Below are 17,325 nucleotides of genomic sequence, written 5' to 3' on the forward strand. Positions count from 1 at the left end.
GGGAGACTGAGGCAGGAGAATCACTTGAACCTGGGAGGTGGAGGTTGCAGTGAGCCGAGATCGCGCCACTGCTCTCCAGTCTGAGTGACAGAGCAAAACTCCATCTCAAAAAAAAAAAATTAGTATCTTGTGTACATCTTTGGAAAAAGATGAGTCCTGAGTCCTTCTGGACCTCTGGACTGAAGAATATCACCCTGGCCTGATTGAAATGCTTCAGTCATTCAACAGACATTTATTGAGCGCCAACTAATTGCCAGGCTCTGTGCTAAGTGCTGGATTTACAGAGATGAATATAATGTAGTCTTTCCTTCAAAGAACTCTCAAACAAGGTGATATATGGTGATGAGATAAACAGCCATTAAGTTTGTTGTACTTGACTCTTTTGTAATGCTTCTTTTTCAAAAATATTCAGCAACATGATATTCGGCCTAAAGATTGAATAGAATATCATGTTTAGCAAACAAAGTTTATATCCCTGAAATAGTTCAGTATTTGTACACATTTAACTGGGGAACTTGCCCATCACTCTGGTTTTACCAAAGGGGGGTGGGAAAAGACATGTTATTATGACTATCAGAGGCTATCATTTCATACAAGAGAAATCCAAATAAATGAACTTTAGATGACTGAATCAAACAATTTACTTACAAAAATGGTTGCCAAGGACCTGGGAAGGACACAAGTTGAAATCACTTTTGCTCAGAGGGTATAATGGCCAGAAAAATGACAATTTCCTAATAAAGAATACATATTATACATATTATATGATACACTGTACAAAATAGGACCCTTATCAGGAATGATGTAAACTTGCAGCTTCCTAGGCATATGGGTTGTCTATTACGTCTTTCAATCAACCCTCAAACCACACATCTACTTTGTAGTCAGAAGTTTAATTTTGCTTAGATTTTGAATCAGGGGAGATAGATAAACAACAGTTTGAATAGTTTAGAATTTCCTAAATTTTAGATATAAAATAGTATTTATGAGTTAACAGTATTTTAATATCAGATCTTAACTTCTTAAAACCAGATTGCAACATATAATGGTTACAAGGAAAACAGAAATGACACAGTGTCTTTATTTTCAACAGATATGCGCATGCAAATAAGTAATGCTGAGAAACTATTTCTTGAGAAACTCAGTGAAAAGGAATATTGGGAGGAGTACAAGAATGTAGGGAGTGAACGACATGCTAAACTCATTACCTCCTTACAAAATGACATCAACACAGTTAAAGAGAATGCAGAGAAAATGTCAGGTCAGTTGCAACAAAACTAGTTCAAGTTCAGTAAAAAACATCTTTAGTAGGGCATACATTGATGGAAGAAAAAAGTGCATACTCCCTGAATCATTCATTACTCTGCTGTCAGCACAAGCAGCTGTGAGCCTAAGGGTAAAGGTGGAGGGAGGAAGCAGAAAAATGATCCCAGGACCACCTGTGAAACTGAGAAGGGGAAATAAAGAAATGGGCGGGTGGGGGGCAGTGTGCAGAAGCCCTGTGACCAAGTGACTTTAAGAAAGACGCTTCTGGCTGGATGCGGTGGCTCATGCCTGTAATCTCAACAGCCTGAGGCTGGAGGATCGCTTGAGCCAAGAAGTTTGAGACCAGCCTGGGCAACACAGTGAGACCATATCTCTACAAAAAATTAAAAAATCAGTTGGGCATGGTGGCTCATGCCTGTAGCCCCAGCTACTTGAGAGGCTGAGGTGGGAGGATCAGTTGAGCCCCGTGGTCAAGGCTGCAGGGAGCTGTGATTGTGCCACTGCATTCCAGCCTGGGTGACAGAGCAGACCTTGTCTCAAAAAAAAGAAGAAAGAATCTTCATTCAATGGATGGGGTCTGTATGTTTCCACACTGGGACAGAAGCAATTCCACCAAGATAGGAGTGTCCTGAGGCCAGGTTATATTAGAAAGAGAATTCACCTGGGGCAAGCTAAGTCAGCTTAGCCAGGCTGGATAGCCAGAATCATCATGGAGAAACGTCAAAGTCAATTAAGTTGTAACCAGGGAAAAACTGGGGAACAAACATGAGATGAGAAGTGGAGAGGCTATAGAGTAGGATGCCGTCAGGAGCAATGAAGCTTACCAGGACTAGATCTGGACACGATGAGGGCCAGCTGTCTGTTACTGAGGCAAGCATAGCAGCTTAAAAGAACACCAGAGACCCAGACACAGAAGAATCATAGGACAGAATTAATGGGGGAAATCTGGCCCAAAAGAGTTGCTGTGGGTGGACAACAGTCCAGGACTCAGCTGGAGATAGTGCCCTGCGTTGTGGAGGGGTTCCTGTGGGTGGTTCCCATGTCCCCCTATCAGGGCTCTCTGCTTGTGGACCAATTTGTATGTAAGTTTCTCAGCTTAGGGCCTCTGCACCACAGTGGTGGTGTAAACTTGGCCCCATATCAGTCTGGGCATGAAGTTCCAATTTGTCAAAAGGTTCTTCTTCTGAAAAGAGAACAAGAGTGCCAGCCTGCTACTCCCTCTGTCCGCACTCAAATCCTCTCCCACTACTACCAGTTTCTTATTTAGCAGTCAGAAATATTCTATGCATATATATATATATATATCACAAATAGCATGCTATAAATATGATGTCTTACTTGCTTTTCATGTAACAACATGAACATCCTTCTAAATCAGTATATCTTAATACTGCCTCATTCTTCCAGTGGTTGCATGGTTTTATTGTACCTTTTTTTTTTTTTTTTTCGAGACACGGTCTCACTCTGTCACCCAAGATGAAGTGCAATTGCATGAACACAGCTCACTGCAGCCTCAACCTCCCAGGCTCAAACAATCCTCCCATCTCAGTCTCCTGAGTAGCTGGGACAGCAGGTATGTGCCACCATACCTAGCTAATTTTATTTATTTTTTGTAGAGGTCTCACTGTGTTTCCCAGGCTGGTAACCATAATTTTTTGACCAGTTTCTTACACATAAGCATTAAGGTTGTTTCTAGTGTTTTAGTATTACAAATAATGCTGCAATGACTATCCTTACACATGTCTCATTTTCCTATGACAAATATTCTTGTATTTATGTCATTTCACTTATGTGTATCTCTGAAAGAAATGGTTGTGTGAAACAGACTATTTTACTGTGATAAATGTGGCCCTCCATAAAGGTTGTACCAAGTGGTACTTCTAACAGTATGCATGAGGATACCTATTTTCCCACATCTTCAGCAACAGGGGGTGGTATCCAAATTTTTGTTCTTTGTCAGTCTTATGGGTCGAAAATGGTATCTCATTGTAGTTTTAATTTCCATTTCTTTTATTAAAAGTGACACTGAATGTGTCTTTTCATAACTTCAAGAGCTATATGAATTTCCTTTTCCATAAACCATCTGTTCATATCTGTCACCCATTTTTCTAATGTGTTGTGGCACTCTTTACATTTTAAAAAAATTAGCTCTTTAACTGTGATATAAATTGCAAATATTTTTCCCATTTGTCATTAGTTTTTTTGTTTGTGGGTTTTTTAATGAAGAAATGATGTGCTTTTAAAGTGCCCAACTTATCAGTCTTTGATTTTACGTTTATGAGATTATGAATGAATTCTCCAATATTTTATTCTAAAATTTTTATGGTTTTGTTTTTATATTTAAGTCTTTGTTTTTGTGTGAGAGAGTGATCCAACTTTATTTTTTTACCAAATGGTTTTCCAGTTGTTCCAACATCATTTATCATCAATTTTTATCCTACTGATTTGAAGTGCTAACTTTATTATACTTTTATTTCTCATATATATCTGAATCTTATTCTCTACTATCTATTCTGATTCACTGATCTGCCTATGCATTTGTTAACCAGTAGAATACTTTTTAAAAAGTTATTGTTCTGGTACATTTTCAAAATTTCAAATATTTTAGCCAGTATTTATTTCACATTTTTAAAGTAGGAAAAGTGATCTTCTCATATAAACTTAACCCATTATCTTGATCAGAAGTTTGGATGATTGGGCCAGGCGTGGTGTCTCACGCCTGTAATACCAGCATTTTGGGGGGTCCACGGTGGATGGGTCACCTGAGCTCAGGGGTTCGAGACAAGCCTGAGCAACAGGGTGAAACCCCATCTCTACCAAAAATACAAAAGTTAGCTGGGTGTGGTGCCGCACACCTGCAGTTCCAGCTCCTGTGAGGCTTAGGTGGGAGGACGACCTGAGCCTAGTAGGCAGAGGTTGCAGTGAGCTAAGATTGCACCACTGCACTGTAGTCTAGGTGACAGAGAGAGACCTTGTCTTAAATTAATGAATTATTAACTAGGATGATTTCTTTGACTTAAAAATTTTCATGTGGTTGTATTCAACTTTGGGGTGGTAAAAACATTTATATATTGAATTACTTGCTGGTCAAGCCATGGGGCGCAGCCATAAGAAAATGGTTGTTATGGGCTTGTGTTATTTTCCATTAGTTTTAGGGACTTGTCTTAACCATCCAGGTAGCAGCAGCCACTCCACCAGGGGAACTATTAGAACATGTTGGGGACCACTAACTGGACACAATGAATATGAGCAAGACTCCTAAATCAATCTATCTGAAGGCTTACTACCATCATCCCCTCTTTTTCTCCTACCTTCTACACAGGCTGCCTTCTTTCATGATTTTCCTGGAATTCTCCTCCAATGATTATGGGGTTTGCGTTAGTTAGGCTGCTTTACATGCAAGGAAGAGAGATCAAGTCAGGCTATTGTTGTGGGCTGGGAGGTTGCTGTAAGTGAAAGAGGATATTAAAACTTTTTAAAGTCTCAGTTTACGCTGAGGTGGCAAAATGAGATGAGATACCACCACATAGATTTGCAATTTGATGAAGAAGAAAACCAGTTTCGCACCTTTGATCATCGAATTCCAGTCTATACAAGAAGTTAGAGAGGCCAGGAAAAGGTTGTTAGAAATTAGGGGACAACTTTTGGAAAGAGCTTTTGGTGTGCTATCAGTCCTACTCTTTCCCCCACCGAGGAGCAGGTAAAAGGTAATTCCTCCTCCATCTCAAATCTGGGTGAAAGGTCTTCAGAGAGATTTCTCAGATGGTTCAGTATGTGTCCCCTGCAGTCTGGGCATTCAGGTCTAGTTTATGACTCATCCCTGAGAAATCTAGGGAGTAAGTGGCTGAGGAGCTAACCGCACTGACAGCAGAACACAGAAGAGGTGGCTGCTGCCCTGGGCTGGGCCTGCACTCCCGAGTTTGTCAGGGCAAAGAATGGAGGAGTGTTTCTTGTCAACTTGTTATGAGAGAGAGTTGGGGAACAGTCATGTGAAATCTTGCTGGAGACAGCTGACTAGGGTGTTGGGGGCCGGTGATAGGTCCCCAACAGAAAAACAGGGATTTTGTATGTGTGGGAGGGGAGTGCAGAATTGAAAACCAGGGACCAACAGAAAAGTTGTTACCAACTTCTAAGGACAGTACTTGCCCTGGATCAAGGGAATGCAGATGAAATCCCATTTGAAATGGGGAAGCTTGTCCTCCAAAGAACCTACTAAAACACTCCCATGAGACAATGTGTCAGCCTTAAATGCCAGCTAGGTCCAGAAAGTAGACATGAGCTTGAGACAGTATCAGTCAAGTGAGAGCTTTCTTACCGTTTTCCATGTTTCCCTCTTCCCTTCAGCACTGAGAGAGGAATCATGGAAGCTCAAGGCAAAGAAAATGGCAGCAGGCCCAAGTTAGGAAAGGGGATTGGCATAACTTTGAAAGAAGTTTAAATTGTTGCAATATTCTGAACATACTAATTACTCATTGGAGGACCTTTTGTTACCACAAAGAAACCAGAAGTCATAGGATTTACCATATATTTTATTGAGCAGAAGTCAATAGCCTCACAGTATGAGTTTTAAAGGAAAGAGACAAAAATTAAGTTGCTTGACTCCCCAAGAGTAATGCTTGTTGGGTGTAACACAAATGAGGAAAGGGAAGACTGAAGACAGAATGATATCAGCGGTGGTTCTAGGCATGGCTCCTCCCCACATTTCTCTCCCCTGATCTGTGACTGTCCCTCTCATTGGCACCTCTGCTTTGCTCTGCATACCTGTCCCCCTTCTCTTCTACTTCCCACAGAACAGTCCTTGCAGTATTCTCCAGCCCATTTCTAAAGACATCTGGTGCCATCATGCACCTTATCAAACATGACCAATGGCCTTTGTCCATACCACCTCATGGGTCACCAGTCAGCCCCAGCACAAACTGTTCCTCGGTCACCTGCCTTACTCAGCAGCCTCTGCTGAAACCCAGGGGGCGAGGAGGAGAAAACACTTAGAGCTGCTTCCCTGAACTTTAGCTAGAATGGGATATTGGGATACTAGTATAGAAAACAGTCACTAACATATCCAGGCCAAGGTTACTTCTCCTCAATAAAAGGAAAAGGAACCTTAGAATAAGCCCAGGAATGAGAAGGTGAGGGGTTATTACAAGTCATTAGATAATTACAGTCACAGAGCATTTTTATTTTTGTCCTTTACTGGGGCACAGGACAGGGATTCTTAAAAGTTCTTTGTACACTAACAGTGAATTTTTTTAAATTAGGTTCAAGACTCCGTACAAAAAAGTAACATTGTTTCTTTGAATGTTAATTTTCTTGCCTATAAAATCAGAGTCCCTAGGTGATCTCCAAGAGGACTCACATTTCCAGCATTTGCTTTTCCATGTCTTGTCTAATCCTTACAAGTTCCTTTGAGTTAGATATAATTAGGCCAGTTTAAAGATAAGAAAACAGGCCCAGGGAAGTTAATTGCCCTAACCAAAGTCACAATGCTAGTAACAAATGGAACAGGGATTTGAACCTAGGTGTGTTAGGCCCCAAATCCATCTGCTTCAAATAGTCCCCCTGAATCTGTGATTCAGTGAGTTGGGGCGGCTCTAAAAAGATTACTACCTGGCCAGTGTTTCTGCTAGCTCCTGTTCAGTTTTCTGCAAAAGGGACTAAGAAGAGGCCACTGCCACAGGAGAGGGTCAACACAATGGAGCTATGTGACCCCAGAAGTCAGAGAAGAGTATATAATAAAGCTCTCAACAGGCCAGGAGGAGTGAACCAAAGCAGAGCCAGACACAGCAGGGAAGGTGGAACAGTGCAAAGCAAACTTTAGCCAGTGCAGTGTGGGGTCAGCTTCTGGGAAGGGACGCCATTAGATGGGGTGTCTGAGAAGCAAGGAGTCTTCTGCACAGTCCTAATCTGCCAAGCTCCCCCTTGCAGTGTTTCGAGCTTTTACGAGGAGACTTTTACATGCCCCACTTTCTTTGGCTGCATTCACCAATAAATGGTTAATTGTTACCAGAAGCATCATCTGAATCACAGAGGCTAACAATGAGATTCTCACATTCACCCTTGTCCTGGGTACTGTGTTTTTAAGAAGAAAAACGGTCCATACACTTTTATATGGAAGTTGGAAGAGAATAGATTGTGAATATTGCTTTTTCAGTATTAATAAGGCAATAGAGAAAGCTACATCTTTAGTCAGAGTGTATTTGATAATCTATTTTTAAATTATTTATAGCAAAGAATTAATACTTCATGTTATCAAGCTCCAGGTTTTATGGTTTCTTTTAGATGCTAAGAATGTAAAATCCATTATGCTCCTGATCCATTGCAACTTTTAGATTGATTATTGTGTTTTGTTGGGTAGAAGTTCAAATAAATAACCAACATTAAGCTGATGGGCTAGGGTAAATTGAAAAAAGAAATTCCATCAGAAATTAGTTTGGAAGGATTAAAATATTCATGAGATTAGTTCAAATAAGTAAGAAAAACGCAGGCTGTATAAACAGGAATATGTAGGTTGGAATAATAAAGGCTTCCACTTCTTATTCTCTAGATGTCAAATTAGACTAACTCCAAAAACCTAATGAATTCTTGCTTATGAACTACTGCCTCACTCTAGTCCATCTCTATTAGAGGCAGAAACTGCCCTCTCCTGACCACCTTTTCTGGCCACCCCACAAGTTAGGAGAACTCTCCCTTTCTCTCTCTCTCTACTCCCTCTTCCCCTTCCCACCCAAGCTGCCAGAGAAGGGGAAGAGCCAATATTTGCTTTCTGGTGCTGAAGCCTCAGATCACTGCCCACCAAAGACTTGCAGTTTGCCAAATTTGATTTTCTTCAAAATATTTTTTGGCACGTATTGTGTCCCAGGGATACAGTAATGAAAAGATATGGAAGAGAAGTTTTTACTTTCTGCTCTCAGCGTTTTCATCTAATGGGAGAAACAGTTATGCTAGTACAAAGTATAGACGAGGGCTGAATAACTCTTGCCCAGCTCTCTGGCCTGAGTTCTGGTGGTAGCTGCCTTAGCTGGGCTCCTGGTCAATTGAAAGACCAGACCTGCAGATCTCCTTCCCTACAGCATAAAATCCCTGAGGGTTCTGCTTTGGCTGACTTGGTCTGTGAAGAAAATTTTCCCTTTGAAACAACGCCCTAAGTCAGGGGTTCCCCAACCCCCAAGGCCACAGGCCAAGATTAGTCTGTGGCCTGTTAAGAACCGGGCCACACAGCAGGAGGTGAACAGTGGAGAAGCAAGTGAATCTTTGTCTGTATTTACAGCGGCTCTCCATCACTTGCATTACCGTCTGAGCTCCGCCTCCTGTCAGATCAGCAGAAACCTTAGATTCTTTTAGGAGCGCAAACCCTATTGTGAACTGCACATGTGAGGGATCTAGGCTGCATGCTCCTTATAAGAATCTAATGACTAATGATCTGTCACTGTCTCCCATCACCCCCAGATGGGACCATCTATAACCAAGAAAACATATCACAAGGACAGGGTTTTTTTCTGTCTTAACCAGCAATATTTGCAGTGTCTTACATACTGTTTGGCATACAGAAAGAGCTTGATAGTTACTTGTTGAAAAAAGGAATGAACAAATTGGACTCACTTGTCCAGCTTTCTTATAATGTAGAATCAGGGCTCCCACTGATTCTACATTATAGTGAGTTGTATAATTATTTCATTATATATTACAATGTAATAATAATAGAAATAAAGTGCATATGTAATGCACTTGAATCATCCCAAAACCATCCCCCTCTGCCACCCAGTCTGGGGAAAAATTGTCTTCCAGGAAAACAGTTCCTCATGCAGAAAATGTTGGGGACCGCTATCCTAAATGGAAATAAGGTTCTATAGTACTGTTAGTACAATACTGTTGTTTAGCTGTAGAATAAGTTAAGTGAGCCTCTGGACCTGCCCAGAAATCTAGCAGCCACGATTTTCAACATCATTTGTATGGGAAAATACTTTCTGAATTCCAAACAATTGCCCTGCCTATGTTACATAAATAAAGCACAACTAATGGGAACATATAACACAGAAGTAATAAAACACAACTAACTTTGATTATTCTCAGATTAACTCGTTTGGAGTAGTACAGGTTCCTCATTTTTCACATTGCTGACTACCTGACTCAGTCCCTGAATGTTACCTCCTCAAAAAAAGCTTTCTCTGATCACCCGATCTAAAATTGAGAATTTTAGTTTTTCTTCCTCATACACATCACCACCTGAAATATTATTTATTTACCTGCTTACTTATTTATGATCTGGCTTCCCCATTAGAATGTACATATCACAAGGACGGGTTTTTTTTCTGTCTTAACCAGCAATATTTGCAGTGTCTTACATACTGTTTGGCATACAGAAAGAGCTTGATAGTTACTTGTTGAAAAAAGGAATGAACAAATTGGACTCATTTGTCCAGCTTTCTTATTCTCCACTCTTTAAAGCAGCCTTGCTGTCACAGTGTCTCATAGTCCTTAAGAAGGGATATTGATTTCATGATCTCTAAGCATCTTTCAAGGCCTAAAATTTTATGATTCTTTGCTCTCTCAATAATGACATTTGTGAGCATATGAAAATCTTGAGAGGACAGAGAATCCTGTGCTTCATTTCTGTCTGTATTTCTCACCTGAGCCTAACTTATAACCAGGTCTATCAACTTTCTGAGCCCCCTTAATCCCTCTCTACTCTCCTCTCCTCGTTCTGTCTTTCCTGGCCCAGGAAACATATGCCAAGAATAGTGGAAATCTAGTTAGATGAAGTCAGACAGAATGCTACCCGAACAGATAATAAAGTCTTCATACTTCTGTTGTGGAGTAGTAAGTTGTGTGATATGAAGAGTAGACTGCCACACATAGTTTTACCTAGAATCATGCTTGATAAGGCTTTTAATTTTCTTTTTTTTTTTTTTTTTTTTTTTTAAAGAACACTATAAAATCACTCTGGAAGATACTAGAAAGAAAATAATCAAGGAAACTTTGTTGCAACTGGACCAAAAGAAGGAATGGGCCACACAGGTATAATTCAATTTTCTTAAAAACAGAACAAAACAAACATTTTCCCCCTATTTTTTCTTTGGGTATATTATAGTGGTTAAGAACTTTGGATAGATTCTCAGATTTGGGATGCTCAACCTGTAATAATGGCTGTAACATAATATTAAAAGTTTTGAACGATTTATAAAATGAAATATAATTTGTCTAAAAAATACTTTATTTTATATCCAAACCTAAGAACGTGGATTCTGAAGTTAGACAGTTTGAGTTTAAATCACAGTTCTACACTTACTGGCTGTATAATGAATTTGTTACTTAGCTTTTCTGGGCTTCTGTTTCCTAACCTATAAAATGGAGAATAATACCAGTATTTACCTTAAAGAAATAGTGTGAGGGTTAAATGAGATGATTTAAGTACTATAATCTCTCACAAGAAGCAACAGCTCAGTGAATTTTTTCTTTTTTTTTGAGGCAGGATCTTGCTCTGTCGCCCAGGCTGGAGTGCAGCGGCACAATCACAGCTCACTGCAGTCTTCACCTTTTGGGCTCAAGCAATCCTCTCACGTCAGCCTCCTGAGTAGCTGGGACTACAGGCATGTGCCACCACTCTTGGCTAATCAGTGAATTATTAATCAGTTATTTTTTTAAGTATAAGAAATATACGTTGAGTATCCCTTATCTGACACATGTTTCAGATTTTGGATTTTTTCAGATTCCGGAATATTTGTATTATACCAGTTGAGCATCTCAAATCCCCAAATCCAAAATCCAAAGAAGTCTGGCCTGGGTGCAGTGGCACACTCCTGCAATCCCAGCACTTTGAGAGGCCAAGGCGGGTGGATTGCTTGAACTCAGGAGTTTGAGATCAAGCTTGGGCAACAGGGCAAAACCCTGTCTCAGCTAGTCCCAGCTCAGTAGTGCCAGCTACTTGGGGCACTGAGGTGGAAGGATTGCTTGAGCCCAGGAGATCGAGGCTGTAGTGAGCCGTATTTGCGCCACTGCACTCCAGCATGGGCAACAAAGTGAGACCTTGTCTCAAAAAAAAAAAAAAAAAAAAAAAAAAACCAAAAAACTGAAATTCTCCACAATCTGAAATTTTTTGAGAGCCAACTTGATGCTTAAAGGAAATGTTCTTTGGAGCATTTTAGATTTCAGATTCTCAGATTTTGGATGCTCAACCTGTGATAATGGTTGTAACAAAATATTAAAATAAAAGTTTTGAATGAATTATAAAATGAAATATAATTTGTCCAAAAAGTACTTTCTTATATACCCAAACCTAAAAGAGTATATTCTACACTGCTGGCACTTTAAAAATCTGGAATATAAAATATTTTTGAGGCATAATTTTCAATCTTATATGTTCTCTAATTCCTTTGTTTTTACACAAAATATCTGATTTTTTTTTTTTTTTAACAATCTTGACCTCTCTTCAAACTATCTGCAAAATCAGTGAGGTCCCCACTAAGATTGTCTGTTCATCTGGGACATTTCTGTCTCAGAATCATAAACATCTGGTCTTTTTTCAAAAGGTTCCTTACTGAATTTCAGTTGCTGTTATTGGTTGCATCCATGTTGGTTCAGTTGTTCTTTTAGTCTTACTTTCTTATTGCATTATTTTTACTAATTTACACAAATACAGAAGGTTTTGGAAAACTGATCAGCAATTTGTTTGCTCATGCAATTCAGCTACTTTGTAAGTGAATCTGACTCACTCACATGGTGAAATCAACCATTAAGTAATCGGACCATAGTTAGACGATTCAAAGTAGATATATAGGCCAAATAAGCCTATAATTTCAAGCATATATCGTGAGGACTATTCTAAATATTCTTTCAAGCATTACACATTTAAGTCCCTCAGCAACCCAGTAAGCTGTAGAGACTTGCTAATGAGGAGACTGGAGCACAGAGAAGTTTTATGACTTGCCTAGAGCAAGTGGGAGAATCGAGATTCATTTCAGGAGGGCTCCTTCAGATCACTGCTCCTAATCACTAAACTATACATTTTCTTTTCTCCACATAATGTCGAACACTCACATGCTTGAATGAACTTTCCTCATTTTAGCTGGCTATTTTATCATACAGTTCAACATCCTATAATCCCAATGCTGTGCAACCTTAGATGCACATTAGAGTCACCTGAGAAATTTTTTTAACCCAGGTGATGCCTGTATCTCACCCATACAGAAGGCTGATATATTGCCCTGGGATGTTGTGTGGGCTTCTGGATTTTTCAAAGCTTCTAGGAGATTCAAATGTGTAACTAAGGTTGAAATCACTGATCCACTGTTAGTGAATCCAGCCATTAGCCAATTAACTTCAGTTAGGAGCAACTTCTTGCTTTTGTCCACATGAAATTCTATGTTGGAGGAAACTAGAATTATTAGTTGTAACTGGAGTATAAAAATTCCCGGCTCCTAAGAAATATAGGTCCACTTATAATGTAATAAGCATGACTTACAGAAAAATTTTTATGGCAAATCTTTCAACTCTTAAAGACTTTAATAGGGCTGGGCGCGGTGGCTCACACCTGTAATCCCAGCATTTGGGGAGGCCAAGGCGGGTGGATCACTTGAGATCAGGAGTTCGAGACCAGCCTGGCCAACATGGTGAAACCCCATCTTCTACTAAAAATACAAAACTTGGCCAGGCACAGTGGTGGGCGCCTGTAATCCCAGCTACTCAGGAGGCTGAGACAGAAGAATCTCTTGAACCCAGGAGCAGAGGTTGCAGTGAGCCAAGATCACACTATCACACTCCAGCCTGGGTGACAGAGCAAGACTCCATCTCAAAAAAAAAAAAAAGACTTTAACAGATAAATTTACCCTTAACACACTTTTAAATCATTTCTGTCCCTGTTTGTGATCTAGATTATTTTTCTTAATTTTTCTTCTTTTGATCGTGCCCTTCAGTTACTAAATATTGAATTTGTACCATAGTATCCATATAAAAGCATCTCGCAGAGAAATACAGTTGGTTATTCACTATAAAATTCTTTTCAATATCTATGTAATTGAAAATAAATTTATATTTTATGAACCTACTGACAAAGTAAGACTTTTTTGTCTTCTTTGTCTAAAATGCCTTTCTTCAGGAGACTAGCTACAGCCTACCCTGAAACTACTTGCTGTTAGATTTACAAATAAGTACGTTGTTATTACTGACATGCAAAATCTTTTCAAATTAAAAAGATAGTAATCTGTTCATGTTTTTGCTATATGTTGGATTATGTCTGTGACTATAAACTTAAAGAATGTTTGATCACTGCAGTTTAACCATCTGAATTGTGAAACATGATTTCACCATAGCAGTCAGATTCGGTCACAATGGAGGTGAATTGAATGGTCAGTTACACATTGTCCAGTTCTCCAAATCACCTGTAATAGACAGTGTAAAACAGCAAAAGCAATACAATAGGATAGTAAAGAATGAACAACCAAACCAAAAGTTCTTAAGTATGTTCCTAAAGTAATTGCAGACACAATCTAAAATGAATGATCAGAATAACTGCACATCACTATTGCTAAAATTGTGAATCAGCATGTGGCAACTCTTCCTTAATCCAGAAACTTTCTTTTAGAATGCTGTAAAGCTCATTGACAAGGGCAGTTATCTAGAGATCTGGGAGAATGACTGGCTCAAAAAAGAGGTAAGTGGAATTTATCAAAACAAACAATTTCTTCGTTCTCATTTTTTTAAGTGGAAATGACTTTTAATTATGAACTGAAGTCATGGGAAAAGCATGGTACCATGACTGACTGAGACAAAATAAAATTCAAGTGGAGTCCTCATCTCATTACAAGCTGTTACTCAAAAAATATCATAATCTCAATAATAATCAGAAAAAAATGTTGGGGTTTATAATTCACACAGTAAACTCAAATGTGCAGTTTCTTTATGTCCTAAAACTTGATTTGGTCTTCCTCATGAGCCTGCTTCCTCCTGGGTGATGGGGCAAGTCTAAAGGACCATTCTAAGCTGATTCTCTGCTGGGTTAAATTGTCTCTTTTGAATGACATGTTCTCCTTTGGTCTGTACCACTGACATTTGAACCAGATAATTCTTTGTTGTGAGGTACTGTACTGTTTTCTCTAGATTGTACATGCTGGTCCTCTGGTCTTACTTCCATATCTCCTTATCCTCATCTGTCTAGAAAACTCCAACTCACCCTCAGGCTTGGACTTTGATTATCAATTTCTTTGTGAATCATTTTGTAATCTCTCCAGGAAATCTTGGGAGCTCCTTCCCCAGTGTTTTCTTGTTTTATTGTAATTCTTGCTGAAAGATGTTGAAATTGTCTATTTATGCATCTGTCTCATTAATACACAGAGCAGGCTATATCTTTTCAACTATATTTCCATGGCACCTGATAAATAATCTGTGCTTATTAGTTATTGAATGACTGAATGTCAATGAATATAGATATATTCATTGAAGGGATTAATCAAATAAATAGCTTAGATCATAGGTTAAAACCTTTGTGAATTGTTTATTGTAGTTCAAGATGGTAGGCTGCATCCTACCTCTCCTGAGGGCTCGCTGAAATAAAATTATAAAAATTATAAAAATACAAAAAGAACTCATCCACAAAGAGAACAAGAGGAGTTAACTAGCAGGTGAGATTTCAGAAATCTTCTGAAAGACAAAAAGTAGATGTGAGAGTATGTTGTTGGATGAAACGAGAAGGTATTGCTTGGGCCAGACGTTACAAGAGAACTACAGAGGATGTGCAAAACTCAATGTTTTTGGAATCCTGGGAGATTCTCTGCTCAGAGTCTGTGTGTGCTATAGATGGTGGGAATGGGAACTGGAGCAGAAAACAAGAGGGTTACTTGATGATCTGAATAGGGAGCATCTGTATCAGTAAGCATCTGCCATCACCCTCTACAATTTCCCTCACATACCACCAAAGTGTTTACTTTTGACCTAAGAACCTGATGACTGTCCTCTGAGAACACTAAACAAATTATCAGATAAAGGCAAAGGTTTCTAGTGTAGACCTTAGATGTTTCTGTGCCCCACAGAAAATCCTTCCTATGTTGGCATTTAGGAAGCCACAACCTAATATCCCACTCTTGCCTTCTCATCCTTTGGGATTTGCCAGTTCACACCACCTGCCATACCACATACAGTCTCCAGTCCACATTCCCATTCAGAGGAAAAATTTGGTATGAAAACAGTCCTATTTACACAGTGGTGGGGAAAATCCATGCCACTCCCCAGACTTTTCTTAAATATAAATAGACATCCAAGGACCACCAGGCATTTGAGTACATTTGGCACAACAGAAGAGAAAGGCCAAGTGAATTAACAACAAAATAAAAAATAAACAATAACAACAAAAACAGCCTGTGGAAGAAATAGAAAAAATTTAGGGAACTGTGAAGGTCTTTTGTTAGTATACTCAAAATAATCTGGCCAGGCATAGTGGCTCACACCTCTAATCCCAGCACTTTGGGAGGCTGAGGAGGGCAGATCGCTTGAGGCCAGGAGTTCAAGACCAGCCTGGCCAACATGGCAAAACCTCATCTCTACTAAAAATACAAAAGTTAGCTGGTCACGGTGGCTCACACCTGTAGTCCCAGCTACTTGGGAGGCTAAAGTATGAGAATCGCTTGAGCCCGGGAGGCAGAGGTTGCAATGAGCCAACATCCCATCAATGCATTCCAGCCTGGGCGACAGAGCGAGACCCTGTCTAAAAAAAAAAAAAAAAATTCTGGCCAGACACATTGGCTCACATCTATAATCCCAGCATTTTGGGCGACCAATGCAGGCAGATCACTTGAGTGCAGGAGTTTGAGACCAGCCTAGGCAACATGGTGAAACTCCATCTCAATATATATATATATTTTAAATTTGAGAAGGCATTTTATTTATAAAACAAGATGCTTTAAGAACAAAAATCAAATATAAAACAGGAAATAGACCAGGCATGGTGGCCCATGCCTGTAATTCCAGCACTTTGGCAAGTCAATGCAGGAGGATTGCTTTAGCCCAGGAGTTTGAGACCAGCCTGGGTAACATAGTGAAACCCCATCTATACAAAAAATAGAAAAGTTAACCAGGCATGGTGGTGAGCACCCGTAGTCCCAAATACCCAGGAGGCTGAAGTGGGAGAACTGCTTCAGCTCAGCAGGTCAAGGCTGCAGTCAGCTGTGATTGAGCCACTGCACTCCAGCCTGGGCAACAGATTGAGACTCTGTCTCAAAAATAAAATAAAATAAAATAAAATAGGGAACAGAGAACAAATCTCAAAACAGGGAAGACCACAATACAAAAAAAAAAAAGGAAGAAGAAAAATAAGAGACATAGAGTACTAATGTAAGATGTACAATATCCAACTAATACAAATACACAGTAATTTCAGAAAGAAAGAATAAGAACCAGAGCAGTGGCTCACTCCTGTAATCCCAACACATTGGGAAGCTGGGGTGGGAGGATTGCTAGAGCCCAGGCATTCAAGACCAGACTAGGCAACATAGCAAGATCCCGGCTCTACAAAAAATAAAAAAAAATTAGCCAGGCATGGTGGTGCAGGCCTGTGGTCTCAGCTACTCAGGAGGCTGGAGTGGGAGAATCACTTGAGCCCAGGAGGTCAAGGCTGCAGTGAGCTATGATCGCACCATTGCACTCCTGCCTGGGTGACAGACTGTCTCAAAGAAAGAAAAAAGAAAGAAAAAAAGGGCAAATAGAGGGAAGGGAATCATCAATGAAATAATAGAAGAAAATTTCAGGGTTCTGAAAAGGACATGAATTTTCAGAACACCAAGAACAAAAGGAAAATCCTAAAAGATTCTGGCAGAAGCAGGTGGGGGTGGGGGTGAAGTTAACTACAAGGGAATAAGACCCAAACTGACATTTGATTTTTCAATAGCAAAGTTCAGATGAAAAATTATTTTTAACTTGGAGTTCTATAGTCAGCTAAAGTAGATTAAGGACAAATAAAGCTATTTTCAGAAATGCAAGGGCTCAGAATACTTCTCATGTTTTCTCAAGAATTTACTTAACCATGTATGTCAGCAAAACAAGAAAGTAAACTGATGAAGAGAAAAACAGGAAACAGTA

General features: G+C 39.6%; 1 protein-coding gene across 11 annotated transcripts in view; it reads left to right on the plus strand.

The window, feature by feature from the left end:
• CCDC83 (coiled-coil domain containing 83) overlaps positions 1 to 17,325 on the plus strand; it is a 64,948-nt gene that overhangs the window by 30,041 nt on the left and 17,582 nt on the right. For 8 of the 11 annotated variants that reach the window (XM_011544839.3, NM_173556.5, XM_011544842.2 and 5 more), the window contains 3 exons: positions 1,094 to 1,261; positions 10,187 to 10,278; positions 13,841 to 13,909. In XM_011544839.3, the coding sequence (XP_011543141.1) occupies positions 1,094 to 1,261; positions 10,187 to 10,278; positions 13,841 to 13,909 (329 nt within the window). The remainder of the gene's footprint in view (positions 1 to 1,093; positions 1,262 to 10,186; positions 10,279 to 13,840; positions 13,910 to 17,325) is intronic. The other 3 variants (XM_011544843.2, XM_047426560.1, XM_017017355.2) reach the window with 1 other exon arrangement.

This window comes from Homo sapiens, chromosome 11 (assembly GCF_000001405.40).
Source record: "Homo sapiens chromosome 11, GRCh38.p14 Primary Assembly".
NCBI classification, from domain to species: Eukaryota; Metazoa; Chordata; class Mammalia; order Primates; family Hominidae; genus Homo; species Homo sapiens.